At 51.9% G+C, this 26,375-nt stretch overlaps 2 protein-coding genes and 1 long non-coding RNA gene across 3 annotated transcripts, besides 5 other annotated features; 1 reads left to right on the top strand and 2 right to left on the bottom strand.

The window, feature by feature from the left end:
* Positions 594 to 6,817, bottom strand: KRT9 (keratin 9). Its single transcript, NM_000226.4, has 8 exons — positions 6,109 to 6,817; positions 4,896 to 4,978; positions 4,617 to 4,773; positions 4,184 to 4,345; positions 3,266 to 3,391; positions 2,920 to 3,143; positions 1,991 to 2,508; positions 594 to 910 (listed from the first exon to the last, which is right to left on the bottom strand). The coding sequence occupies exons 1-7, from the start codon at positions 6,748 to 6,750 to the stop codon at positions 2,031 to 2,033; spliced, it is 1,872 nt and encodes a 623-aa protein (NP_000217.2). The 5' UTR covers positions 6,751 to 6,817; the 3' UTR covers positions 594 to 910; positions 1,991 to 2,030.
* Positions 10,219 to 10,718: an enhancer, noted in NCBI's record as "H3K4me1 hESC enhancer chr17:39731713-39732212 (GRCh37/hg19 assembly coordinates)". NCBI's record gives its function as "activates a minimal SCP1, AML or CMV promoter by ChIP-STARR-seq in naive H9 embryonic stem cells {active_cell/tissue: H9 hESC(naive)}" and the evidence as "EXISTENCE:reporter gene assay evidence [ECO:0000049][PMID:30033119]".
* Positions 14,349 to 15,335: an enhancer, noted in NCBI's record as "H3K27ac-H3K4me1 hESC enhancer chr17:39735843-39736829 (GRCh37/hg19 assembly coordinates)". NCBI's record gives its function as "activates a minimal SCP1, AML or CMV promoter by ChIP-STARR-seq in primed H9 embryonic stem cells {active_cell/tissue: H9 hESC(primed)}" and the evidence as "EXISTENCE:reporter gene assay evidence [ECO:0000049][PMID:30033119]".
* Positions 14,410 to 14,459: a silencer, noted in NCBI's record as "silent region_8495". NCBI's record gives its function as "represses an Ori minimal core promoter by ATAC-STARR-seq in GM12878 lymphoblastoid cells {active_cell/tissue: GM12878}" and the evidence as "EXISTENCE:reporter gene assay evidence [ECO:0000049][PMID:35858748]".
* On the bottom strand, positions 17,037 to 21,653 carry KRT14 (keratin 14). The gene is made up of 8 exons (NM_000526.5): positions 21,068 to 21,653; positions 19,733 to 19,815; positions 19,015 to 19,171; positions 18,518 to 18,679; positions 18,309 to 18,434; positions 17,993 to 18,213; positions 17,852 to 17,898; positions 17,037 to 17,290 (listed from the first exon to the last, which is right to left on the bottom strand). The coding sequence occupies exons 1-8, from the start codon at positions 21,590 to 21,592 to the stop codon at positions 17,193 to 17,195; spliced, it is 1,419 nt and encodes a 472-aa protein (NP_000517.3). The 5' UTR covers positions 21,593 to 21,653; the 3' UTR covers positions 17,037 to 17,192.
* Positions 18,489 to 18,989: an enhancer, noted in NCBI's record as "H3K4me1 hESC enhancer chr17:39739983-39740483 (GRCh37/hg19 assembly coordinates)". NCBI's record gives its function as "activates a minimal SCP1, AML or CMV promoter by ChIP-STARR-seq in naive H9 embryonic stem cells {active_cell/tissue: H9 hESC(naive)}" and the evidence as "EXISTENCE:reporter gene assay evidence [ECO:0000049][PMID:30033119]".
* Positions 20,055 to 20,556: an enhancer, noted in NCBI's record as "H3K4me1 hESC enhancer chr17:39741549-39742050 (GRCh37/hg19 assembly coordinates)". NCBI's record gives its function as "activates a minimal SCP1, AML or CMV promoter by ChIP-STARR-seq in primed H9 embryonic stem cells {active_cell/tissue: H9 hESC(primed)}" and the evidence as "EXISTENCE:reporter gene assay evidence [ECO:0000049][PMID:30033119]".
* Positions 23,105 to 23,709, top strand: LOC124904003 (uncharacterized). The gene is made up of 2 exons (XR_007065755.1): positions 23,105 to 23,294; positions 23,621 to 23,709. It is a non-coding gene; the product is annotated as an uncharacterized LOC124904003 (long non-coding RNA).

The following is a 26,375-nucleotide window of genomic DNA, read 5'->3' on the forward strand; positions in this document are numbered from 1 at the left end:
GATGGGAGTCACAGACCCCATTCATCCTCATCACCCCAGCCAGCATCCAGCCAACTACCAGAGGAAGAGCCACCTGGCTGACTTGCAGCGAACCATAGATGCATAAAGGGAACCAGAGCTTCCCAGACTAAACTGCAAAACTGTTAAGCTAAATGAATGGTTGTTATTTTCAGCCACTAAATGTGGGTTCCTTTGTTACAAGCAAAAGTTAACTAATAGAAAAGTGAACCCACACTCTTTATAACAGATTGATTATCCCTTTACTCTGTCACCAAGGATGGAATGCAATGATGCAATCATAGCTCACTGAAGCCTCCAACTCCTGGGCCCAAGCAATCCTCCCACCTCAGTCTCTTGAGTAGCTGGGACCACAGGTGCCTGCAACCATGCCTGTCTAATTTTTGTTTTGTTTTGTTTTTAGTTTTTTGTAAAGACAGGTCTCACTATGTTGCTCAAGCTAGTCTTGAACTCCTGGCCTCAAGTGATCCTCCTGTCTCAGCCTCCCAAAGTGCTAGGATTACAAACATGAGCTACTGTGTCCCACCCACCCTATCCCTTCTTAATCCCAAAGAACAAATGGGTCAAAGTCTGAGTTTGATTTGCAGTAGGGAAGCTTTATTATAGTCAAGATCGTGCAGGGTGTGAGAGCACCCCAGGCCAGAGAGAGGAAAGAGGTCTGTCTCCCCAACCCTGAAGGCATCAAAGCCAAGCAGGGTTGGAAGCCAATGGAAAGCCAGAGGCACATATGCCAAGTCAGTTCAGTCCCAAACGGGCACAGGGGCTTGTTGCCAGCTATTCCTGATGTCAGGATCCAATAAGCAGGCTTCATCGGGAGTCTGCCCATCTGGGGATGCTCAGCTGGGGCTGGGCAGGAGAAGTTTACAGAGGCTCTAGTATCGCGAAAGGAAGCCTGTGGAGAGATGGAAGGGAGATGAGGGGGAGAAGGGAGGACTGTAAGCAGGAGCAGAGAGGTTGGGACTTGGGGGAAGATGGGGAAACTCGAAGCAAGGACACTAGAGCTCAAAGAGCTGGACAATCCTGAGGTAGAAGGACCCTGGGGTCTCCCAATCTACTGGTCCCCATCTAATTCCTGAATCTCTGTTGCAGCAAACCTGACAGATGCACCCCCAAGTCTGAGGATGGGGGGCTTATGAGGCAGCCCCCTCCATTCAACAGATTTGTTAGTCAATTTTTTGTATATTGAGGCAAAAGATGGCCCCAGCCTCACTCCTAGATGTATATCCATGGACCTGCAGTGCCACTGGACTCACAAAACCACATTAGACACCCTGCAGGGCAGCTCCCAAGCACCTCAAGTCTTCTCTGAGCTAAACATTCCCAGTTATATTACCCAGGCTTTTCCTATAATTTCATATTACATTTTTATTTTATAAAATTCAATGTGTACATGGGAAAATGTTCCCTGATCTAGAGACCAACTCACCTGTGTGAGCCTTTCTTACATTTAGATTATGTTCATCCTTTTGGCAGTTGCATCATGTAATACTTGTGCAAGCCAACCACTGACTAAAATCCCTGAGTCTCTTTTCCACCTGAACTGTTGCTGATCCAGGTCCCCCATCCTCATGAAGGTTGAAAGTACTGGCTGTGAAGCCCCACAGAGCTGAACCCTTCATTTGTGATTGTATGACTTTGAGCAAATTATTTTCTCTGAACCTCATTTTCCTTAAAATGGGGATTATAATAAAACCTACCTCATAGCGTGTGTCATGATAATGCACAATTTTCAACCCATCTCCTACACTACTGAGACTCAGCCATGTGTAGATTTGGTCCTAGCCTCATCCTAGGCTCTGTCAAAAATAATGATCAATTCAGAACCAAGGGTAGGTCTCTGACACCTCACTAGAGATTTCCCTAACATCTAGCTCTATTCAGAATCTGTGTTCCCCAGAGATTCAAAAATACTCAAAAAAAAAAAAAGGTGAGACCTTGACTCTCCACCCCACAACCTAGGATTGTCCCTTACCTTTTGTCTCATCTTGGTCACCAGATTTTGAGGAAGAAGACTAGGAATGGGATGATTTTCCGCTTCCTCCTCCGTAGCCGCCACCACTTCCACTCGCTTCTTCACCGCCTCCGTAGCTGCCTCCACTTTCACCTCCAAAACCACTTCCTCCACCATGGCTGCCTCCACTTCCTCCCCTGGACCCACTTCCTCCACCATAGCCACCCCCACTTCCTCCTCCAGAGCCACTTCCTCCTCCATAGTTGCCCCCACTTCCTCCACTATGACCACCTCCACTTCCTCCGCTATGGCCACCTCCACTTCCTCCACCATAGCCACCTCCACTACCTCCTCCAGAACCACTTCCTCCACCGTAGCTGCCTCCACTTCCTCCCCTGGACCCACTTCCTCCACCATAGCCACCTCCACTTCCTCCTCCACCATAGCTGCCTCCACTTCCTCCCCTGGATCCTCTTCCATAACTGCCTCCACTTCCTCCTCGACCTCCAAGGCCAATTTTTCCAGCTCCGGAGGATTCACTAAGAAAGAAAGAAAACAAGAGAGTTAAAATGAGCGGCCCCCATACACATATATGAGGATGGACCTGGACAGAGTCAGGACCCAAACATGAATCTTTCTGTTTTCCTTCCTGGGAGGCAGAGGACAGAGTCTGGGCGGGCACCACAGCTGGGAGAGGAGAGCCTCCAGCTGAGACTGTGGAGCCCTCCCCTCCCTGGAGCAGGGAGGCAGCCCGTTCTCTCAGTGTCACCATCCTCCTTTCCCAAAGCCCAAATGCACTGAGGTCCCCCCGGCCCCCAGGATGAAGAAGTCCTCAACCCATAAGACCCTGTGTATAAGAACTTCCCCCAGCTGCCTCTATCCAGAGGGACAGAAGTAGTATCAGAGGCCTAGGGACCCCCAGGGGTTCCACCAAATCCTGGGGGACCTACAAGTCTTCCTGGCCTCCCTCAAGGAGGTTGTGGTAGGTCTCGATTTCCTTCTCCAGCCGCATCTTAATGCTGAGCAGAAGGCTGTATTCCTGATTCTGGCACTCGATCTCTTGCCGGACGTCAGTGATCTGGGCCTCCAAGTTACTGATCTGCTCCTGGATCATCTGCAGCTGGCCACAGTAGCGGTTCTTCGTGTCTTCCAAGCTCTTCTCCAGAGCTGCTTTCTAAGGGTTAGGAGAAGGCTTTAAGAGGGATGCTACATCATAACTCCTCTTCTTCCCACTCCTGGGCTGCAAAGACTTCCTGTGCCCCACCTTGGCAAAGGGTCTATAGCAGAACTACCAACCTTGCTGAGCTGAGACTGCAGCTCAATCTCCAACTCCTGGACACCGTGCCGGAGCTGGGTCACCTCCTTGGCACTGGACTGCACCTCCTGACCACTACTGGATACCTCATGCTCGATCTGGGTTATCTGCAAAACCAAAGGCTCAGTAAGCATCAGGCTGTGCCAGGAGCTTCAGTGAGTGAGATTCTGCCCCATTCACCAGGATCTTCACCTCCAGGGCCAAGGCTGATCTGAAGCCAATGACAAGTCATTCTGAGTTCTGGGTACCCTCCAGCCATGGAGGGTTGTCCAGTCCTCTCAACATGACATTCCCTCTCAACAAAGTTGCAAGACCCTTCACGCTTTGTCTCACAACCATCTTTCTAATCTAACCTTATTCCAAACTTCCCCCACCTTTCAAACATACACACACACACACACACACACACACACACACACACACACACACAGCACAGACCATGCCTTCATGTATGTGCCAGACTCTGGCTGGGCACTGGAGACTCAAGGACGAAGGGAACCACCAAGGAGCTCAGTACAGTATGGGAGACACACTGTATCCCTCTGCTATAGTCTTACATTACATAGCATTAGATTAAATTGTTCACATTCTGCTTTTGTTCACACACATCTAATAAACTGTGAGCTTCTCAAGGGCAGCAGTCTTGTTTGGCTCATATCAGACATCAATACCTCTGAGACATCAATACTTTACATATAACATGGCACTGAGAAGCTACTTTGTAATGATGTTTGTATGCAGTGAATGAAGATGGATGAATGACTTCCATTGGAAGATGGATAAATGACAGCTGCACTGAGAGATGCAGAGATAGGAGGATGAAGGAATGGGAGGTGGGAGGGATGGAGATAGGAATAGATGGAGGGGAGGAGGATGAATGGGCAGCCCACTCTGCTCACCTGAGTCTCATATTGATTCTCGATGTCCTTTCTGTTCTTAGCAATGAGCTGCTCATACTCCTGACGCATGTCATTGAGGGTCTTGGTGAGATCTTTGCCAGGAGCAACGTTTATCTCCACATTGACATCTCCACTGTTCTGCCCAGTCAGCTGACTCATCTCCTGCCAGGGAAGAAGGGGAGATGAGGTCACGGATAAAGTCCTCTGCACCACCTTTCAGAATTCTCCCTCTGGTCCCCCCAGGGTACAAAAAGGGGACACAGTTGTGAAGCCAAAGCCCAACCACTACCATAGGTGATGCCAAGGAGAAGTTGAAAGTGTCCTCAAGAGCAAAGGAGAGGGTGTCTCCCAGGTAATGTTCCAAAGCTCCCCTGCTGTCTCTGCATTTCTGCTCCTCCCTCTTCCCGGTAAGCCATAAGCCCCAGCAACCTACCTCCTTATGATTCTTCTTGAGGGCCATCAGCTCCTCCTGCAGAGTCTCATACTGCATCTCCAGGTCAGACTTCTCCATGGTCAGATTGTCCAGCACCTGCCGCAGGCCATTGATGTCAGCATCCACTCCTTGCCGCAGGTTTTGCTCCATCTCAAACCTGCAGACCAGCCAGGGTTAGAAAACAATCAAGAGGGAACCAGGCCCTACCAGGACCTCCAGAGCACTGAGGTTCAGGGGTAAGGGCTGATGACAGGAGAGGAGAAGAGGAGCAGGACTCACTTTATCCTGAAGTCATCCAGTGTCATGCGAGTGTTGTCAATGTCCAGGAGAGTTTTGTTGTTGCCCACTGTCAGGTCCACAATCTGAAAAAAAAAGGACACAGCCATGATATCATGCTGTGGACCACTGCTGAGAGGGCAAGAGGCCAGGCAAAGCCACAGGAGGTGAGGATTCCATCCAGGAAGATTCTCAAGAGGAATGAGGAACTTCCAACAGCTGGGACATGGCACAGACCCCTTCCAGCCTTCAGCGAAGATGTTTGGTGTGGCCTTCATTCATTCATTCAACAAATATTTGAAGATCTACTGCAAAGGGCATTGTAGGATTTAGAGATTACTGACATCCTGTTCCTCAGGGAGCCCACCATTGACTACAAAGTCAAAAGTGTCCTAAAAGAGTTCAAGGAAAGGAGAGGTGGCTTATGGCAATGGGAGATCAAGAAAGACTTCAGGAAGGAGGTGGCTGGCAATTGAATTGGGCCCTGAAGGATGGCTAAGATGTAACATTAATAAATAAATGGAAGAGGTTTAGAGTAGAAGAAACAGCACATTCAGAGACATGCAGGAGTTAAAACAAGAGGAATCACTGAGAATACTGAAGAGCCAGACCGTGAGCTCCACCAGAACTAGGTCTAGCACATCACTATGTCTACCCAGAGCAACCCTGAGGGTAGGCACTCACTGAACTGAGTGGCTGAATAAATGGATAGATAGATAGACATGTGGGTGGAGGGAGGAAGGGATAGATGGAAGGATGGATGGATAGATAGCTTCCATTCCCAGATTTCTGGATCCTCTCCAACACTTGAATAACCAACATGTACAGTCAGGTCCAAAATACCTTAAAAGATCAAGATACACTCCTAAAGAAGCCCAGGAGAAGTACAAAGGAAGAGAAAGTATTGACTTAGACCAAACCTAAAGGAGGTTCCACATCCAGTCCCAGCTCAGCTCACGTTAACCCAGGTCTCCTCTCTGCTCTGCCCAAACTCTGAAAGTTGAGGAAATGGAAGTGAACACTCAGAGCACAGGCCAAAGTCCTATCCTGGGATCCCCAGAAACCAAACACAAGTTTGTTTCTGATGAAAGCGTACATTTCCAAAAGGTGGATTCCCTGGCTATTATCTGAGCTTAGAGTTTAGCATTTTAACTTTTTTGGAAGATAAAGAATGAAAGAGAAAGAGACCAAGACAGAGACAGTTTCCTGCACCTACCTGGTCCTTGAGATCATCAATAGTGTTATAATAAGGGGAGTAGTTCTTCTGGATAGCAGCAGGTCCCTTCTTGTCGTACCAATCCTGGATCTTATTCTCCAGGTCGTTGTTGGCCTCCTCTAGAGCCTGCACCTTATCCAAGTAAGAGGCCAGCCGAGAATTGAGTTCCTGCATGGTGCTCTTCTCATTAGCAGTCAGAATACCACCATCACCTCCTCCAGCACCACCTCCAAAGCCCCCAAACCCCCCAAACCCACTCCCATAGCCACCACCAAAGCCACCTCCAGAACCACCACCAAAGCCACCTCCAAAACCCCCAGAACTACTATAGCCTCCTCCAGAAGCACCACCAAAACCTCTGGAACCACCCCCAAAGCCACCGCCTAAACTACTGGCACTAAAACCACCCCCAGATCCTCCGCCGTAGCTGTAGCCAAAACTGCCACCGCCTCCCCTCCCACAGACACGAGAGCTTCCCCCACCATAGCCACTAGAAGAGCTGAATCGGCCCCCTCCTCCACCGCCCCCTGAGGAGCTGAAGCGGCTGTAGGAAGACCTTATGCTGCCCCCGCTGCCCAGGCCGCCCCCGCCACCCCCGCCGCTGCGGCTCAAGTAGGACGAGGAGAACTGTCTGCAGCTCATGACACAGCTGGTAGCTCACGGGTTGAGAAGCAGTGATAGGAGTGCTACCGGCTCCCAAGTGCAGGGTACAGAGCTGTCCCTGGGGCTGCCTACTTATACCCCCAGCTGAAGGTGGCACGCCTGGGTGTGCCCTTGTTCTGTGCCAGCCTCCCCCCACAGACCCGAGGGAGGTCTGGGATACGGAGGCAGCCGGGCTGCCCCAGGCTCAGCGTCCTTTGGTGACTGCCTGGGGGCGGCCCAGCCTCTCTCCATTGTGTGGGATAATTTGATGACATTAGGCTGTCAGGGCCACCATAAATCAGCTGTACTGCCACAGGGGTGACCTAGATCCTGGAGTCTGGTCTCTGGCTGGCCCCAACAGCAGGTCTGAGACTTAGCCCCTTCGGGATAGAAACTCCCAAGAGCAGAGTCACCTCCTCTATTGATGGTCATTACTGTCTGCATCCCTCATGCCTCCTTGCTCCCACCTTGTGCCCACTGTGAGCTGAGCTGGAACTAGGGTACTAAGGAGTTATCATAGAGGAGGGGGAGGCACAGCCCCTGCCCTTGTGGAGCCCCAAATGGATGAAAACCAATCCTTGCTCTCAGGATCCTCGAGGCTTTCTGCAGAGTCTGAGGCTCTGCCCTTGGGAGACTCCAGTTTGATGAGGAGGCAACTGGCATGGCCAAAAGATGGAGACGGGCACCGAGACCATGCCCGCCAGCACTAAAGGACAGCGTGCAGAGTTCACACAAAGGGCTGGAAGAAGAAAGTGGACCAAATAAACAAGGTGGTGCTGACACTAGCTGACCTCTGAGCAGGAATGCAAGTGGCTCGACTGTCCTGGTCCTTTTGCAGGGCCCAGCAGGGAGTGTGGAATTGACCTTGGTTGAGTGCCTACCCCATACAGAACTCTGGAGGGGATACAGAGATGTGTGACTTATCCCTGCTCCTGGCAGAAACTTGGATGTATATTCTGGTCACCAAGGCCAGAAGAGAATGGTAAAGAACACGCTGGTCTCCGGTGTGCCTACCTGAGCTCCATCCAGCTCCATGCTCATGAGCTGTGTGACTTTGATAAGTTACTTAAATACTCTGTGCCTCAGTTTCCTCCTTTGAAAAAGGTTGATATGAGTAGTTTGTCCATCTCCTAGTAAGAGACTTGTGAGAAGTGCTCAAAAAATGTTCGGCTGCCTCTGATCATTCAGCCCCCTAACTCCCCGTCAACTCTGCCCTCACCCAGACCTTAGCCATGAGCTTCTAACTGCCCTCCCTGCCTCTCCCATTCCCTCTGACTCTTCCTGCACAGCAGCCAGAATGACCTTTCTAATCCATGTCTGACAACATCACTTCACCAGTTTCCCTCCACCCTCAAGATAAGGTCCACATTCCTGGCACTTAGGCCCATCCCCATCTTTCCATTCCTGCCCCATCTCCCACCATCCCCCAGGCCCCCTAGAAAATCATACAATGCTTCCCAAATGCCCTTCTTCCCTCTAAGAATACTCGGCACTTGCAGTGACCTCTGATTGAAATGTCCCACTCCATCTTTTCTACACAGAAAACTACCCATCTTCAGTGATCCCTCTGACTGCCTCCTCCTCTGTCTTCCTGTACTCTCGCCCCCTGGGTTTGTACTGTGCTCTGTTATAGTGTCTCACACTTATCTCCATGGCTCTATGAAGCACTTGATGAAGAATAAAAGTTCATGTACTGAAAAAATAGAAGAAACCTCTCTCTGCGGGCAGCCAGAGCTCCTCTAAGCCTGCCCCTGCTCATCTCGTACTTGCCCCAGTGCCCAGCGCCACGTCTGATCCAAGTAGGATCCCAACACATATGAGATGGAGGAAAGATACCAGTCATTCCAGAAAGATGCTCATTGCTGAAAAGGAGCTAAAGGTAAGGAAATCTCTTTGCCAGGATGGTCAGCAAGGGCCTGAAAGAGGCAATGCCTGCATGTGTAGGCGGCATAGATGACTGGTATTTCTTGAGGGGCTTTTAAGTGATGCTCAACGACTGTTAAATAATACTGAAGTGGCCGGACACGGTGACCCATGCCCGTAATCCCAGCACTTTGGGAAGCCGAGGTGGGCAGATTGCCTGAGCTCAGGAGTTTGAGATCAGGCTGGGCAACATGGCAAAGCCCCGTCTCTACTAAAAATACAAAAAATTAGCCAGGCGTGGTGGCACACACCTGTAATCCCAGCTACTCAGGAGGTTGAGGCATGAGAACAACTTGAGCCCAGGAGGCACAAGTTGCAGTGAGGTGAGATCTGCGCCACTGTGCTCCAGCCTGGGCGACAGAGCAAGACTCCGTCTCAAATAATAATAATCATCCTAAACATAATAATACTGAAGCACTTGGAGGAAGATTTCCTTTTTCCATGTTTGTTTGTTTGTTTGTTTTGAGACAGAGTCTCACTCTGTCATCCAAGCTGGAATGCAGTGGCATGATCACAGCTCACTGCAGCCTTGACCTCCTGGGCTCAAGCCATCCTCCAGCCTCAGCCTCCCAAGTAGGTGGGACTACAGGCACACACCACCATGCTCAGCTAATTTTTTTTTTCATAAACATGAGATTTCGCTATGTTGCCCAGGCTGATCTTGAACTCCTGGGCTCAAATGATCCTCCTATCTCAGCCTCCAAAGTGCTGGGATTACAGGCATGAGCCACTGCACCTGGCCTCTTTTTCTATTTTTCAATCTTCTGATTAGTCAAGGATGAAATCTCATTTGGACACTATGGCTTCTCTAACGACCCACACACTTGTCAATCACCCTGTTCAAAAAAAGAGAGCCAACTTTGGGCTCAGAACCTTTAGAAAGTAACAGCATCTAGTTAGAAGTTAAGTATTTCTGTATGTCATTTCCTTCTGCTTCTGGCAAGTGATTATGATTTTCCTTTTTTGTAGTAATGTAAGATTTCCTTTATAAATATATTTATTGAAATGAAAGGTGAGTTAATTTACCAAAATGTGTTAAATAAATATTTAAATGGGTGTTACAGAATATGTTACATTAAAAATTAAACAGGTAGTTTAAGTTTTGAAAATTAAAAGAGAATATAATTCTCTTTTATTCAATATTCAGAGAATACTGAAGGCATTTTATGATAGTTAATACATGGAAGACTCTTAGATCAAGGCTAGTGGGTATAATTGATTCCCTTTCTACTTTCTCAAATGGTTTTAAACCATTCAAGGTTTTTGCCAAGCTCTGCTGGGAAGCCCAGAATCTGCCGCAATGTGTTCCAAGGCCTGGAAAGTTACCCTCTTCCCCATGCCCATGCTGATGCCGCCACTCTGGTTGGGATGTAAGCCCCAGGTCCTGGGTCCCTGAGCTGGGTAGGGAAGTCAGTGGTGCTGTGGATGGGCCACCCTGGAGAGAGCCAGCAGAGTGGCACTTTCAGAACCCTGCTCTGTCATCTGCAAATGTATCTGTTTGGGGGATCCTAAGAACAGCTGAGACCCACCTGACTGAGCAGAAGCTCCCAGCTGGGGCTCCCCTGGCCAGCTAAGCCTCTTGACAGATGGCCCTGGTTTCCAGCCCTGGTGCCAAACCCCAACCCCTGTCCTCACCCACCTTCTCCACTTCCCACCCTCCAGCCCTGTCTTAAGCCTCACTCAGCCCGAAGCAGCAGGCTTCGTCCCTCAGAACTCCTCCCAGCTGCCAGGGAAAGAAAGCTGTGCATGAGGACCACTGTGGGGTGGACAGCACAGTAGCTCCCCAGCCAGGCAAGGCTGGGCCACGTGCCAGTTTCACCCTCCCTTTCCCTGTGGTCCTCAAAGTTGGCCTCAGTTTCCTCATGAGAAGCCCCTTCATGCACTGTTGCCAAGGGCCATAAAGACAGAGGGCTTCCACCTGTAATCCCAGCACTTTGGGAGGCTGAGGTGGGCAGATCACGAGGTCAGGAGATCAAGACCATCCTGGCTAACACGGTGAAACCCTGTCTCTACTAAAAATACAAAAAATTAGCTGGGTGTGGTGGCAGGCGCCTGTAGTCCCAGCTACTTGGGAAGCTGAGGCAGGAGAATGGCGTGAACCCGGGAGGCAGAGGTTGCAATGAGCAGAGATCACGCCACTGCACTCCAGCCACTGCACTCCAGGGTGACAGAGCGAGACTCTGTCTCAAAAAAAAAAGAAAGAGGGCTCCCTAGATGAATGCCCAACTGCTGCCCACATGTAGCCCCTGCCACATTGGCCCTCCTCCCCCTACATCTGGCCTTGTTCCAATACAAAGAGGATCTTGCTGTGCTTGCAGCTCCTGCGGTCCAGATAGGAGGTCTTGTTCCAGCTGCAGCAGGGCAGCATCTCTTCCCTTCTCCCAAGCTCTCTGCCTGGCATGGGAACCAGACTGGGCAAGATGGGGCCAGGGATGAGGAAGGCCAACAGCCATGGCCTGAGTGAGTGATTTCTTCTAGGTCATGTGGCATGGCTCACTCTTCCAGCCTCTCAGGGCTCAGGGTCTGCCCTCTGAGCCCCACCTTCAACACCTCCCATGGGAATCCTCCAAAGAATGAACCAGGAATGGAAACCATGGAGCCCATGGCACCCCGGCACCTGAGACCCAGCGAGAATCAACACTGCCTCTCTACAGCCAGTGTGCAAGGCTGCAAGGCTGCAAGCTAGACCCAGTGCCAGCAACCCAAATGCAGGCCCTCCCCTTGGGGAGTGGATGGAGTAGGAGAGAAGGGGCTGCAAGGACCCAGAGAGGCAGACAGAGGGACAGAGAGAGAACCAAAGATCCCACTTGCAAGGTGTCCCCAGAGGCAAAGGTATCGTCCACTGGGGACATAGGGACCTGGAGACAGCTCAAGGACAGCTTTGCTCTGGTTGTGGGAGCCCTCTTGCTTGCCTGCAAGCAGCCTCCCACACCCCCAACTTACTACCCATTGCTGTCTGTCATTGATCCCCAGGTGGGGCCAGGGAGGGACCTGAGTCAGCATGTAGCTGGCTGCTGGGAGAGGGAGCACCCGCTGAGTCACGGCTCCTCCCCTGGAGCCTCCATGAGCCATCTAGGCAGGTGTGCACTGCCCACTGGCGCAGGGCTGTGGGTACCTGCACCTGTCTGTCAACACTGATTCTTTCTCATACAACAGGCACTTGCCATCACCCTTCCCAATTCAGACCCTATCAGACCACAGTGAGGGGATGGAGTGGGCCCACATACGTGCCTCCACCTGAGTCTAGGCACCCCAGGCTTGTGTCTGCTGGGACACACCTAGCAGTGAGGATGAGAGCACCGGCTTCGAAGCCAGGCAGGTCATGGTGTAAAGCCAGATTCTTCCACTTATTTGGGGAAAGTTGCTTCCCCTCTGTGAACCTGTTTCCTCATTCCAAATTCGGATTCATCCTTTATTGAGCACCTACTATGTGCCAGGCATTGGGCTGAGTGCTGGGGGTAAAGTAATGAGCAAGCCCTTATCTTGATGGACAGTTATGGGATAAAATAGACCTGCAGAAATGAACATGTAATTCACAACTGAGGTGAGCACGGTTGGTGGGGAATGGAGAGCACATAATAAAGGTGTGGCATGGTCTGGGGTACCAGTGACCTTCTCCCTGAGAAAGAGACACTTGAGTGAAGGGGGAGGAGAAGTGAGCCAGGAGAAGGACAAAGGGGAGGGGCATACAGCATGTGCAAATGTCCTGAGGTGGGAACAAGCAAAGTGACTGCCAGGGCAGGAGTCCTGTGTGGCTAAAGGGCAGTGGGTTAAGTCAAGCAAAAGATTTCAGTGGGGAAAAAAAAATAGTTCTGAGCTTGGCCAGCCACAGTGGCTCACACCTGTAATCCCAGCACTTTGGAAAGCCAAGGCGGTCGGATCACCTGAGGTCAGGAGTTCAAGACTAGCCTGGCCAACATGGTGAAACCCTGTCTCTACTAAAAATACAAAAATCAGCTGGGCGTGGTGGCGGGCACCTGTAATCCCAGCTACTTGGGAGGCTGAGGCAGGAGAATCGCTGGAACCTGGGAGGTTGAGGTTGTAGTGAGCCCAGATCACACCACTGCACTCCAGCCTGGGTGACAGAGTGAGACTTGGTCTCAAAGAAACAAACAAAAAAAAAAAGTTCTGGCCTCATGAAGTTGTTGTGAGGCTTAAAAGAACTCATATTGTAAAACTGCTGGTGTGGGTCTGGTACATGGTGGGACATCATCCTGACTGTCGGTGGCACTGTGCCTGCTCCCAACTTCCCCATGGACCATCTGGGCAACTTGGGTTCTCAGCTCCCTTGCTTATTATTAGCCCATCCTTCTGGCCTATTGAGCCCCCATTAGGATCAAAGACCTGTGCCTGTGGGGCCTGGGGAGGACATTGAATGTTTGGAGGATCATAGTTCCTTCCGTCAAGGAACCTCCAGTGTTGCAGGCAAGACCCTCGTTGCTTTGCCTGCACTGTCGAATTTAATCTTCACCAACTGTTTTAGGAGGTATGCATTAATTTTTAAATCATTTTACAGGTAAGGAAATTGAGGCTCAGAGAGGGTATCTTGGCCACAGTCACAGAGCTAAACAAGGCAGAATGGAGCCAGGGCTTGCCCTCCAGTGATCAGGAGCTACAGTGGACACAGGCTCAGAGCTCCTGCTCTCTGTCCCAAACCCCACACATGCACTGGGTCCCTCTCTACCTTCTTCCTCATGTTGTCTCTTTTCTTATTCAGTCTGTCTCAATTCACCCCATCTCCCCTACACCTACAACAGTTAAGTTTCGATAAGTATGTGTGAATGAATGAATGAATGAATGAATGAATGCCCCTCCCTGCCTAGTACTGGCCCAGGGCCCTCACTATCCTCTCTATCCCTGACTCTGTCTCTCTGACTCTCTCCCTCTCCCTTTCTCTCTCTCTCTCAACTCTATATCCATTTGTTTCTCTCTATTTCTGTGTGTCTATTTTTGCCCTCTCTCTCAAGCCAAGTCACCCCTAAAGTTCATCAGAGCACCTTAAAGGAAAAAGACTTCCTTTCCCAAGCCTGGCCTTACAGTGGCACAGAGGGAAGCCCTGTCAGGAAAGCCTGTGCTCAGCAAACGGCAATGGAGGAGGAGCTGGTGACTGCCCTGCACTTGCCTGAGGCCGGTCCATCGCCCTGGAAGTCCCTGGCATCCCCTGGTCCCCTTTGTGGCAGCCTCCAAGCTCAGTGAGGTGGGCCAGGGAAATTCCTGGGGTCCCACAAGGACATCGGGACCCCCCAGCCCCTGGGGATCAGGCCTCCTTGGGGCTGCCTCCTCTGACATCTTCCTGTAGGAATAGTCGCCTACATTACCCAAGCCAGGTTGTCTGTGGCTTTGGGGAAGTGCCATTTGCCTGATTAGGAAGGTACATATGCCAGTTGCTGCCTATAGAGTTCCCTGGACACATTAGAGATCTTTTCACCATTAAAAAAAAAAAAAAAAAAAAGCTCCCAAAAATAAAGGGGATTGAGAATTTCAAGGTCGGTTCCACCCCATAAAACAAAAACCATGGAGTAAGCTACGAAAAATGCACACTGATCCCATAAGTCTCTCAGTTTTATCTCATCCCTGAGAAAGAACGGAACAGGAATGAAGCCACCCAGGACGTGGCAAAGCCTGAGCATGGACAGGACTTTGCCACTTTCAGCCTTAGGACCTGGAGCAAGCCAGTCTCCCTACGGTGAGGTTGGAGGAGTCTTCCCGGTGGCTCACCTAGGACTGCCGGGTTCTGAGTGCTGGGAGGGTGGAGAGAGGGTTTAGAGGGAGGCGGAGCCAGAGAGGGCACCTGATCAGCCCCAGGACTCAGAGATGCAATCCCAGCTGCCTCCACTAGACTGTGCTATCGAGTCACTTTGCTCGTCTATTGTTTAGCTGAGCGGAGGCCAAGGGAAGGCGGTCACCATTGTCGAAGCTGCTGGGCTCACTCATATTTTGAGTTGGATGCTTGTGGCTGCCAGGCTCTGTGAACAAGAGCCCTGTTCATCAGCAGGATCCAAACACTGGCCCTACCCTCCCCAGTGAGGTATTGTGGGGAAATCCCGGGAGGAGGGGAGTCCATGTGAGACCCCGGTGGCCACTGCCCTGCTGCCCTCTTCCTCTGGAGCCTGACAGCACAGGGTGGGACTACCTCCCAGCCTCCCTGCTTGACTTCCTCCTCTCCTGGTTCTGAGCCTGCTTTCAGCCAGGTGGTGCCAGCCGCCATTCTTACCCGCAAGCAAGCCCAGGTCTCCTGTGTATTCCCTTCAAACAGTAACGGCAACCACTCAGAGAGGAGGCTCGCCCCACCTCACCCCAGTCTAAGAGACCTCACGTTTCTATATTCCTCTAAAGCAAATCTCCTTTGGGCACAGACTTTAATCTGGTTCCACCTCCAAGGTAGAGAGATGTCTGGGGATTCTTAGGAAGTTGAGGGCGTTCTGGGCTTCAGTCCCCACTGGTGACTCTTGCCATATTTTGCTCTTTGTCCAGGCCCATGTGACCTCTCAAATGTGGGCCATTCCCGAGATTCTTTGCCACACTTGGGCAGGAGGTTCATTGCCCAACTAGGAACCTTAGGAACCAGAGTCCAACACCCCTGGGAGTATCACAAAGCCCCTCCCCACACTAGGGTCCTGTACCCCCTAGGGCCCTCAAACCCACCTCTTCTCATTCTCTGAGGAAGCACCCTCAAACCTTCCTCTTTCCTGAGTTGTCCCCTGTACCCCTGAAACTCTAGTACTTCACCTCCAGGATGGCCCATCCTCACCCAGGGATCACCTAAGGTCAACCCTTTTTGATGACAAAACTTAGGTTAAAAGATATCCCAGAGTTTCAGAAGTACAAAGCAGTCCTCTTTCTCCTGGGGTGGAGGTAGGAACAAGAGAAACCAACATCTCTTCATTCCTTTTCCTAATAACTCACCCCATTACCATTTATAGGGTGCTGACTATGTGCCAAACACAATGCCAAATTCATTGCCTGCATGAGGTCATTCACTCCTGTATCAGCCCTTATGCAGTAAAGATATTTATTCCCTACCTTGTGAAAGAGGAATGTGGGGTTCAGTACCTTGCCCAAACTCTTCAAGGCTATTCAGCATAGGAGCCAGGACTCCAACCCAAGTAGTCTGATTCAAAAGCTCAGGCTTTCAGATCCCTTGCCCAAATTTAGTCGTTTTTCAGTCTCTCCCCTACCCTTGACTCCCCCTACAAGTTTTCTTCAGGCAGCCAAATGAATGAGCTGTTGAAACTGACACAGGACTAGTCAACTCTTTCCTAGCTTGGGGCAATGAGCCCCACCCACCTCTGGAATCTTCACCACTTACTAGGGTGAGGCTCCTTGCCTTCCCACTCCTTTTCTAGCCCCCCAAAGAGAAGGAAAGGCATTCCCCACCCAGGGGAGTCTCCTACAGTCCTGGCTCTTAAGGTATAGTCACTCATTGGATTCTTGTATCAACCTCAAGAGGCAGGGCTCAGCATCCTTACTATACAAGTAAAGACACTGAGACTCAGACTTTCCAAGCTCACATCTGTTACAGAACAGAGCCAGGGTTAGAAACCAGTCTATTCTCAAACCCTCTAAAAATGCTCTCATCGTGAATGGATAATCACCATGCCCTAGAGATAGTTTACCCAGTATCGCCAGCACAGCCATGCCTTGAGCCAGCACTATGCCAGGCCCTGTGCTGGAGGCCTTAAATGCATTCTTCCAGTGAATTCTCCCAACAAGCCCATGAGGTAGATACTATCATTATGCCCCTTTTACAGAAATGGCAGCTGAGGCTGGGAGCTGGTCATCAACTTGCCCTAGGTTAACCAAGTGTAAGAAGGATTAGATCCAGCACCAGAGGCAAGAGCAGGTGGGGTGGAGGGAGACAAGACTGTCAGGAGAGCTTGAGTTCCTACTTCGGTTCATGGACCTCCGGTAAGGAGCTCTAGGAGACCCATGAACCCCATGACATTGTATGCAAATGTATGTATGCTTATTTGAAGGTAGGGGGCAGAAGGAAAGATCTATAGCTTTCAATATTCTCCAAGGAATCCCTGATCACAAAAACATCAGGAATCCTTAACCTAACATAGTGCCTGACATAGAGGCACTCAATATCTGGTGAATGAATGGACACACATGAAAATGAGTGAGTAAATGAATGAATATCCCTCCGTACCCTAGGAGACACCACATATGACCTGGTACACACATCTATCTGTGTCTTCTGAGATGGCGAAAGATATCCTGGGACCTGAGCCCAACCCACCCCCAGGACTTTTCTCCCAGTCCCAGGGGCCATAGCCAGGTGCTATGACAAGCTCCAAAGAGATGCTTCTCCCACTTTCTCCCCACCCCCACTCCTAACAATGACCAGAGAGAGGCGAGAATTATGCAACTCAGATAATGAAGCTGTATTGATTGCCAGGAGGGGGTGAGGGTGAAGCAGGGTCCAGCTGTGAAGTGCTTGGGCAGGAGAGGGGATCTTCCAGTGGGATCTGTGTCCACACGGGGGGCCTCCTAGGCCTGAGCGGGGCTGGGCAGCCTCAGTTCTTGGTGCGAAGGACCTGCTCGTGGGTGGACACCACCTTGCCATCGTGCACATCCATGACCTTGGTGCGGATTTGGCGGCTGGAGGAGGTCACTGGGGAAGAGGTGGGAAGAGGACGTTACCAGAGGTGGACAGACAATGGACTAATCAGGAGTAAGGAGGCCAAGAAGGTGAGGAAACTCAAACTGGCTCCCCATTGCCCTCTCCCCTGATTACTGCTTCACTCCCTGCTGTTGCCCAAGCACTGATACCATCAACACATTTCTTTCAGACGAGGGCTCCCAAAGGTCAGAGACAGAGTCTTTGCCCTCAGATTAGAGCTTCCTAAGAGCTCACACCTGGCTGGTTCCATCCATATTCACCCAATGGAGTGGTCTCAGTGGGAAGAGCCCTGTAGGGCCCTGTTCATGGTGCTGACCACAACAGCAATAGGATCTGCCACAGACACCACGTAGAAGCAAGAGGTGGGGGCTGCCTCTCCTAGCCCTAAGGAGGGTTTAGAAAATAGCTTCTTCCACCCAAGGAGGTTCACAAGGGAAACTGGGTGACAGCACTAGAGCTCAGCCCCTCACGGAGCCCCTAGCCAATGCCTAGACCTGCTTGGGGTACAGAGGGTGGCCTGGAGCCCAGGCCTGCAGAGGAGGAGGGTCTTACCATCTCTGGATGACTGCGATCCAGAGGAGAACTGGGAGGAGGAGAGGCTGTGAAAATAGAAAAGGACAGGATCATTAGATACATGGTGGGGCCGTGAGAGTGCCATGGGGGGGGCGGACTAAGGGGAGGGCCAAGACTCACTGGGCGTCCTCGCCCTCCAGCAGGCGGCGGTAGGTGGCGATCTCCTGCTCCAGCCGCGTCTTCACGTCCAGCAGGATCTTGTACTCCTGGTTCTGCTGCTCCATCTCGCAGCGGAGCTGGGCCAGCTGCTCCTCCACGCTGCCAATCATCTCCTGGATCTGGGCCAGCTGCATGCAGTAGCGACCTTTGGTCTCCTCCAGGCTGTTCTCCAGGGATGCTTTCTGTGAGGGAGGGAAAGGGAATCAACGATTAGTGAGTGTGGCCGTTCTCTCCCTGCCAGTCCTGGGTGCACCACCCTTCCTGGCACTATTCCTACCATGCTGAGCTGGGACTGCAGCTCAATCTCCAGGTTCTGCATGGTGCGCCGGAGCTCCGAGATCTCGCTCTTGCCGCTCTGCACCAGCTCGCTGTTGGTGGCCACCTCGCGGTTCAGCTCCTCTGTCTGCAAAAAAGAGAATGCCATTCACACCAGAAGGCCCCAGAAGGCAGGTGGTCTGGGTTCCTTCCACCTCAAATGACACCCACCTTGGTGAAGAACCATTCCTCGGCATCCTTGCGGTTCTTCTCTGCCATCTTCTCATACTGGTCACGCATCTCGTTCAGAATGCGGCTCAGGTCCACGCCAGGTGCAGCGTCCATCTCCACATTGACATCTCCACCCACCTGGCCTCTCAGGGCATTCATCTCCTGCACAGCCAGGGACAGTCCACAGTCAGGAGTTCCACCATGGCAGCGGATTGGTGTTCCTTAGGCCTGAATACTGCCCTCCCACCATCACAATTCTATCTCGACTCTCCCTTCTCTCTCTCTCTCTCAATCTCTCTCTCTCTCTCTCTTTTTTTTTTTTTTTTTTTTTTTTTTTTTGGACAGGGTCTAGCCTTGTTGCCCAGGCTGGACTCAAACTCCTGTGTTCAAGTGATCCTCCTGTCTCAGCCTCCCAAGTAGCTGGGACTATGGGCACGCACCACTGTACCCAGCCTCCCTGCATTTCTTTTAAGCTGACTTTTCCATATAGTTCTCACCTCCTCGTGGTTCTTCTTCAGGTAGGCCAGCTCCTCCTTCAGGCTCTCAATCTGCATCTCCAGGTCAGCTCTGGCCAGGGTCAGTTCGTCCAGCACCCTGCGCAGGCCATTGATGTCGGCTTCCACACTCATGCGCAGGTTCAACTCTGTCTCATACCTGGAATGACCCCAGAGAAAAGGTATGAGACACCCATCCTGATCACAGCGAGGGCTTTGTTCTCTTCTCCCTGCAGCTTCTCCCAGAGCTGGTGCCTTGTGGGTGGTTTAAGGAGCCAATCTTGAAAATGGCGTGGTTGAACACAGTGCCCATTGATTGCTCAGATATGAACATTCCTGCGGGCTGGGGATAAGGCAGTTCATCTTGCTGCAGAAATCAGGAGGGGGTTGCACTTCTAGCTTCAGCCAACAAATAATGCAGAAGTCCTCCAACTATGATTCCTTCCTATACTTCAAGGGCAGCTGGGGAAGTGGAAAGTGCCTCTCCCTAAAGCAGCGGTTCTGAAACCTGGCTGTGGACCAGAATCACCCAGGTAACCTGCTATAAATAGCTGAATCAAAACTCCAAGGGTGGGGCCCAAGAGTCTTATTCTTTTATAAGCACCCCAGGGAGTTTTCATGCACCTATCCTGGTACTGGCTAGTTCTATTTGGGAAACACTGCTCCAAAAATGCCCTACTCTGGGGACACTGGATGTTCTGGCCCACCATTTCAAACTCACTTGGTGCGGAAGTCATCCGCGGCCAGACGGGCATTGTCAATCTGCAGAAGGACATTGGCATTGTCCACTGTGGCTGTGAGAATCTGCAGGATGGAAAAGGCACAGGTAATTTGTCAAATGGACTTCACAAGCTGGACTTCACTGTAGCCTACATTAAGCTCTTGCTTCATGTTCTTGCCTGAATCCCCCTTTTCCCCCACAAAACTTGACCATAGCAGCCCAAAGGAAAACAGATGCCCCAGGCCTGTCCTAAGACTTTGCTAACTCATGGTCAACAGAGGGGGTAGATGCAGCCCCGGGCTTAGAATCGAAAGCCCAGGAGTTCTGGTCCCAATTCTGCCAGTGTCTTGCTGCAAAACCTAATGGGTCTTGGGGCTTCAAGTTCCCCACCTCCAGGTGAGGAGAATAATCTGAGGCTCCCTAGCCCTCCTTCCTGAGCTGACCTCTCTTCTGTCTGCATCAGCCAGCCCTGCCAGTCCTCTGCAGATATGCACATTCCTTTTCAAGCTCACAGGCCATGGGACTTCAAGTGGAACTTTCTCAAGAGATAAAACCCAACTAACACAGGGGATTAGAAAAGAGGACTCAGGGGAAGAATAAGAAGATATATTGGCCCCTGAGTCTGGTTGGATTTCCCCACCTCATCATTGAATTTCCCTAATCCATGCAAGTCATTAGAGCCCAACAGACTCCAGCAGGGAGGGCTCCCAAGTAATGTGGGAGCAGGGAGGAGGGGGCTAGAGTCAGGGCACAAGCCTGCCAGGCTCTCTCTGTGCAGGGCACATCAAGGGACCACACTAATTGTCTCTGCAGGCTCTCCATGCCCGCCTGGCTGTGGGGAGGGACCAGCCTGTACCAAGGCTTATGGGCGGCGGCAGCCACAGCCCAGACTAGTGAGCTAATGAGTGGTTTGGATGTCTTGCCTGGTCCCGTTAGAGCCTCACTCCTCCCCTGTGCTGGAGAACAAGTAGCTGCCTCCTGTGCTGGAAGGTAGGGCACAAGGGCCCCAGCCTTGGCTCTGCCATTAATTTGCTATGTGACCTGCAGCTGGTCACAGCACCTCTCGAAGCTTCAACTGCTTCCTCTAAAAAATGTAAGGATAGGAATCACTGATCTCACATGGTCTGAGGATTTGAGATCAGAAGGGGATGAGGAGGCTGGGGAAGGGAAAGCATCTTCTCACTGATCAGTCTTAGGGCATCCAAGACCTCGAAAGAAGGGATCTGGGGTGGACTCTGTCCTATAGAGAAATCTTAAGGTCTCAGGGGCCTGGGGCATGAATTGTTCCCAGAAGGAGCTAGCTGGAATGGTGCCTTCTGCTGCCCATTCACCCACCTTGTTCCTCAGGTCCTCAATGGTCTTGAAGTAGGGACTGTAGTCTTTGATCTCAGCAGGCCGCTGCCTCTGGTACCAGTCACGGATCTTCACTTCCAGGTCGGCGTTGGCCTCCTCCAGAGCACGCACCTTGTCCAGGTAGGAGGCCAGGCGGTCATTGAGGTTCTGCATGGTCACCTTCTCACTGCCCACCAGAAGCCCATCACCACCAGCAAAGCCACCACCAAAGCCACCACCCAAGCCAGCACCAAGGCCACCACCATATCCTCCCCCAAAGCCACTACCAAAGCTGCTGCTGCTGCTGCTGAAGCCACCGCCATAGCCGCCCCCCAGCCCGCAGGCTCCCCCAGAGGAGAAGCGGGAGGATGAGACAGACAGGCCGCCCCCGTAGGTGCTGGGGGCGCGGCAGGACCCTCCGGCCAGGACGGAGGAGATGCGGCTGGAGCCGCCCCCGATGCCGCCCCCGATGCCGCAGGAGCCCTTCATGGAGCTGGAGGAGGTGAACTGGCGGCTGCAGGTGGTCATGGTGCAGAGGAGGGAGGTGAGCGAGCGAGCAGTTGGCTGAGTGAAGAGAAGGTGCTCGGGTAAATTGGAAAGGGATGCGAGTGCTTTATACTCGTGGGTAGGGGGCGGGTCTGGCACTTTCCATTCCCCTTGGCTTTCATCACCCACAGGCTAGCGCCAACTCCCAGCCAGGTCCCTCCTCTCATCCGCCTCATCATGTCTGTCATATTTTACTGGAAACTCATTGTTTGGAGTGTTTTGGGCTTTCTTGTCCCGCCAGGCGTGATTCACAGGGGGAGGTGTGGGCCTGCAGGCTACACTTTCCCATCGGACCCTGGGAGTCCCAGCCCTCAGGAACCCGCGCACTGGGCTTAGCCAGGGTGACAGAGAGCAGGGCCTCTGCACCTTAAACCTAGTTACCTGCTAGCTCTCCATGAACTGAATGGGCCTTTAACATCCACGTAGAGGAAGCCTGCTGCTGCAGGGGATGGATACCCGGCTGGAAAGCACCGGCATGGCAAGGTCACCTTGGGCACAGACAGGCCTCCCTCACCATGACCCTCTATTAGAGACAAGGAGGTCTGGGGGGCCCTCCCAGGCCTGACCTCCCATGCTGTGCTGAGAAGTCTGTCCCATCCCTGAAATACACCCAGCTAGTCAGGTGTATCGTGGTTCCCACCCCAACATCCCCATCAAAGAGAAATCCAGGCAGCTCTCCCCAGCCCTGAGCACAGACCCTAATCTCCTCCCTATGGTGAGGATCTCACATCCACCACACCATAGGGCAGGTGGCCTCATGGAGGCCAGGAAACAGCCTGGAGTCAGGTGGGTCCTGGCTCTGCCATTTACGCCTCTGTGACCCAGGGCTTGGCACTTCTCTGAGCCTCAGTGTTCTCATCTGCAAAGTGGGAGTCATACCATCTATTCTGCTTAGTGCAGTCAGCTCTGAGAATCCAATGCGACAATGTATGTGAAAGGGTTTTGTAAACCGAGTATGGCAAGAAGCCTCGTTGGCATTGTTATAGCCCAGGCTTAGCCCCAAAGTGGCTGGAGCTGCATCCAGGAACAGGCCTAGGGGGGCCTTTTATTCTTCCAGCCCCAGATATCTTCTCAGACCCCCAGAACATCCCTAGTGTGGGCAGCTCAGGCGCCCTCGTTTGAGCCCCTTGTGGAACTGGCCCAGGAGATGTTCTGGGGAGGAGTAGAGGCTGGAGTGGAGCTGGGCTGTGCCAAGGGCAAGGCTGAGGTGGACACGAGGGTCCCTGACTCCTGAAGCCCCAAGGGTCAGGGGACATTTCTAGGAGTCCACTTGGTCCTGCTTTGGAGGTGTGTATATCAAAACTTCAGCAATCTCCCAGACAACCTCCCAAAGCAAACCCTTCCGGCCCCCACCCCACCCTCCCATCAGCCCCTAGGCTCCACAGACCCCGGCAGGCATGTTGAGAGGAATGTGATCGTGTCTGGGGCTGCCTGACGCATCCTATCTCCTCAGACAGGCCCCAACAGCCCCTGCTGGAGGCTCCAATGCTCTTCCTGGGATCAACTGCTCCTAGAAGAGAAGCAGGACCCTCTGTCACCCCCAACCCCACCTTGACTGTCACCAAAGAAGAAGCCAGAGAAGGGAGCCCCCCACTACTGTGGCCTAGGAGCTTGGAAGACAATGCTGAGACAGACATCTGAGCTGTGGGCTCCCCAAATCTGCCAGCAAAGGACTCTCAAGGATGTGAGTAAGCCAGGGCCCCACCCCGCTCCACCCGCCCCTGACAGACACTCCTAATCTCCCTGCAGAGAATGGTCCCCCCACCCTGGCCCAGCCCTACAATTTCCCCAGAGAGAGGCAACAGGGGTTTTGGCTGAGGGACAGATGCTTTTGTTGGGAGGCATGTTGCTGTTGGCTGTGGGGCAAGGGGAGGCTGTGCTCACTGGAGAAAAATGCTGTGTCCAGAGGGATCTGGGAGCGGGAATGGGGTGCAGAGCCCAGTACCGGCTTCCTCTGTGCCCCACCACCCCCACCCACCACCACCACCACCATGTCTCCTTCTTATGCAGGGATCAGGAATAGAAGCTCCGGAGCCCGGGACATAGGAACAGCTCTACTTTCCCTTTCATTTCATTCAATAAAACCCAAAAGAAACTCCTTCCTCCCCCTCCTCCGAGGGGAATCCAAAAGATAAAGATGGCAGGGAACCAATGACAGATCAGTCAATCACATAATCTTAAAAGGCACTTCTGCAGTCCCACCCCAACCCCACGCACCAACACCAGAACCCTAGCATGGAATATAAGCCTGATCCCCCACACCCGGTCTTAGAACCGTGACCCAACCTGGAGCCTGAGGCCAACCCCTGCAGACAAGGACTCAGTGACCAAGGAGCTGCAAACAACCCAGCCAAGCAGGGAGCAGACTTAGAGGACACCACACTCCCCTCCCCTCCCTGATGCCAAAGAAGCATGGTACTCAGACATTTTAAGGGAGGGCATTTTCTGGGGCATCAGGGGTTAAAGGGTTGTCAGTCCTGACTGCTGAGGCCCAGAGTACCCCCCACCTCTGGACTTCTAGGCAGACTTTGTGTGAGCACCATTACCTGACCCTCCCTCCAGCCTGCCCCAAAAGGAGGGGGGTAAAGGAGGAGCCCCGGGCAGGACCTCTTGTGGTTAGTGAGTCTCCCTGCACCACCCTGCATGGGGGAGCCCTCTGCCAATCCAAACAGGTGAAGCTGGCAGGGCCAGGCAGCACCTCCAGAGCCCACACTGTGTGCTGAGGACTGTGCTGGGGACCAGGAGATGGCATCCTAAGGAAGGAGGAAACCTCAGGACAGCCCCCGCCCTTGGAGTGCATGGCCTACTGGAAGAGACGATCCCTGCCTTTAGGAAGGTCCCAGCATGAAAGAGAAGCAGGAATGCACATCAACATTACTTAACATACAAACAAATGGAAGAAAAGCACAGACAAGTAAGATTGGTTTCCCAGGGCTGCCATAACAAATTACCACAAATTTGATGGCTTAAAACAACTGGCTGGGCACAGTGGCTCACGAATATAATCCCAGCACTTTGGGAGGCCAAGGCAGGTGGATCACCTGAGGCCAGGAGTTCAAGACCAGCCTGGCCAATATGGTGAAACCCCATCTCTACTAAAAATGCAAAAATTAGCCAGGTGTGGTGGCAGGTGCCTGTAGTCCCAACTACTCGAGAGGCTGAGGCAGAAGAATCACTTGAATCCGGGAGGCAGAGGTTGCAGTGAGCCAAGATCACGCCACTGCACTCCAGCGTGGGCAACAGAGCAAGACTCCGTCTCAAAAAAAAACAACAGAAATGTATTCTCTCTGGAATACATTCTGGAAACCATAAGCCCTGAATCAAGGTGTTGGCAGGGCCACACTCCCTCTGAAGACTCTGGGGAAGAGCCCTTCCTTGCCTCTTCCAGCTTCTGGTGCCTCCCTGAGTTCCTCGGCTTGTGGCAGCGTCGCCCTATCTCTGCCTTCATCTTCATACAGTCTTCATCTCTGTCTTTTTCAGTCTCTTGTAGGACACTCATTGGATTTAGCAATCACTCTAATCCAGTAGGATCTCATCTCAAACCTTACCTTACTTACATCTGCAAAACCCCTATTTCCAAATAAGGGCACATTCTGAGGTCCCAGGTGGACCCGATTTGGAGGAACCCTATTTGACCCACTATACCGCATAACAGACTGGGTGCTTGTCACCTTGCAAAGCAATAGTAAAAACTGGGTGGAGAGATAGATGGTTGAGATGAGATGTGGGGGCGGCCCAATCTGGAAGGCTTCTGGGAACAGCCTTTAGCGTGACACGTCAAGTCACCAGGGACTGGATGGCAGGGAGCCACGGAACTCTCAGGTCTTGGGTCCGTACTTGACATCATCCACTTTTTTTTTTTTTTTTTTTTTACACAGGGTCTCCCTCTGTTGCCCAGACTGGAGTGCAGTGGTGGGATCACAGCTCACTGCAGCCTCAATCTCCTGGGCCCAAGGGATCCTCCCACCTCAGCTTCCCAAGTAGCCAGGACTGCCACCATGCCCAGCGAGTTTTTACTTTTTTGTAGAGACAAGGTCTCACCATGTTGCCAGGCTGGTCTCAAACTCTTGGGCTCAAACGATTCTCCCACCTCAGCCTCTCAAACTGCTGGCATTACAGGCATGAGCCACCACACCCAGCTTCTTTTTTTAAAAAATGTTTATTTTGAAATAATGTTAGACTTGGCTGGGTACAGTGGCTCACACCTGTAATCCCAGCACTTTGGGAGGCCAAAATGGCAGATCACTTGAGGCCAGGAGTTTGAGACCAGCCTGGCCAACATGGCAAAACCCCATCTCTACTAAAAAATACAAAAAGTTAGCTGAGCGTCATGGCAAGCGCCTGTAATCTCAGCTACTCGGGAAGCTGAGGCAGGAGAATTGACTGAACCTGGGAGGCAGAGATTGCAGTGACCCAAGATCGCACCACTGCACTCCAGCCTGGGCAACAGAGCAAGACTCTGTCTCCCAAAAAAAAAAAAATGAAATAATGTTAGCCTTTAAGAAAAAGTTACAAAATAGGACAGAGAGTTCCTGTGTATCCTGTGTATCCTTCATCCAGCTTCCCCTAATGTGAACATACTACATAAGAATCATACAATTTTTGAAACCATAAATTAACATTGACACAATACTTTTTCCCCCCACAAGATGGAGTTTTGCTCTTGTTGCCCAGGCTGGAGTGCAGTGGTGCAATCTCGGCTCACTGCAACATCCGCCTCCCAGGATCAAGCGATTCTCCTGCCTCAGCCTCCCAAGTAGCTAGG

The sequence above is a fragment of the Homo sapiens genome, chromosome 17 (assembly GCF_000001405.40).
Source record: "Homo sapiens chromosome 17, GRCh38.p14 Primary Assembly".
Lineage (NCBI taxonomy): Eukaryota > Metazoa > Chordata > Mammalia > Primates > Hominidae > Homo > Homo sapiens.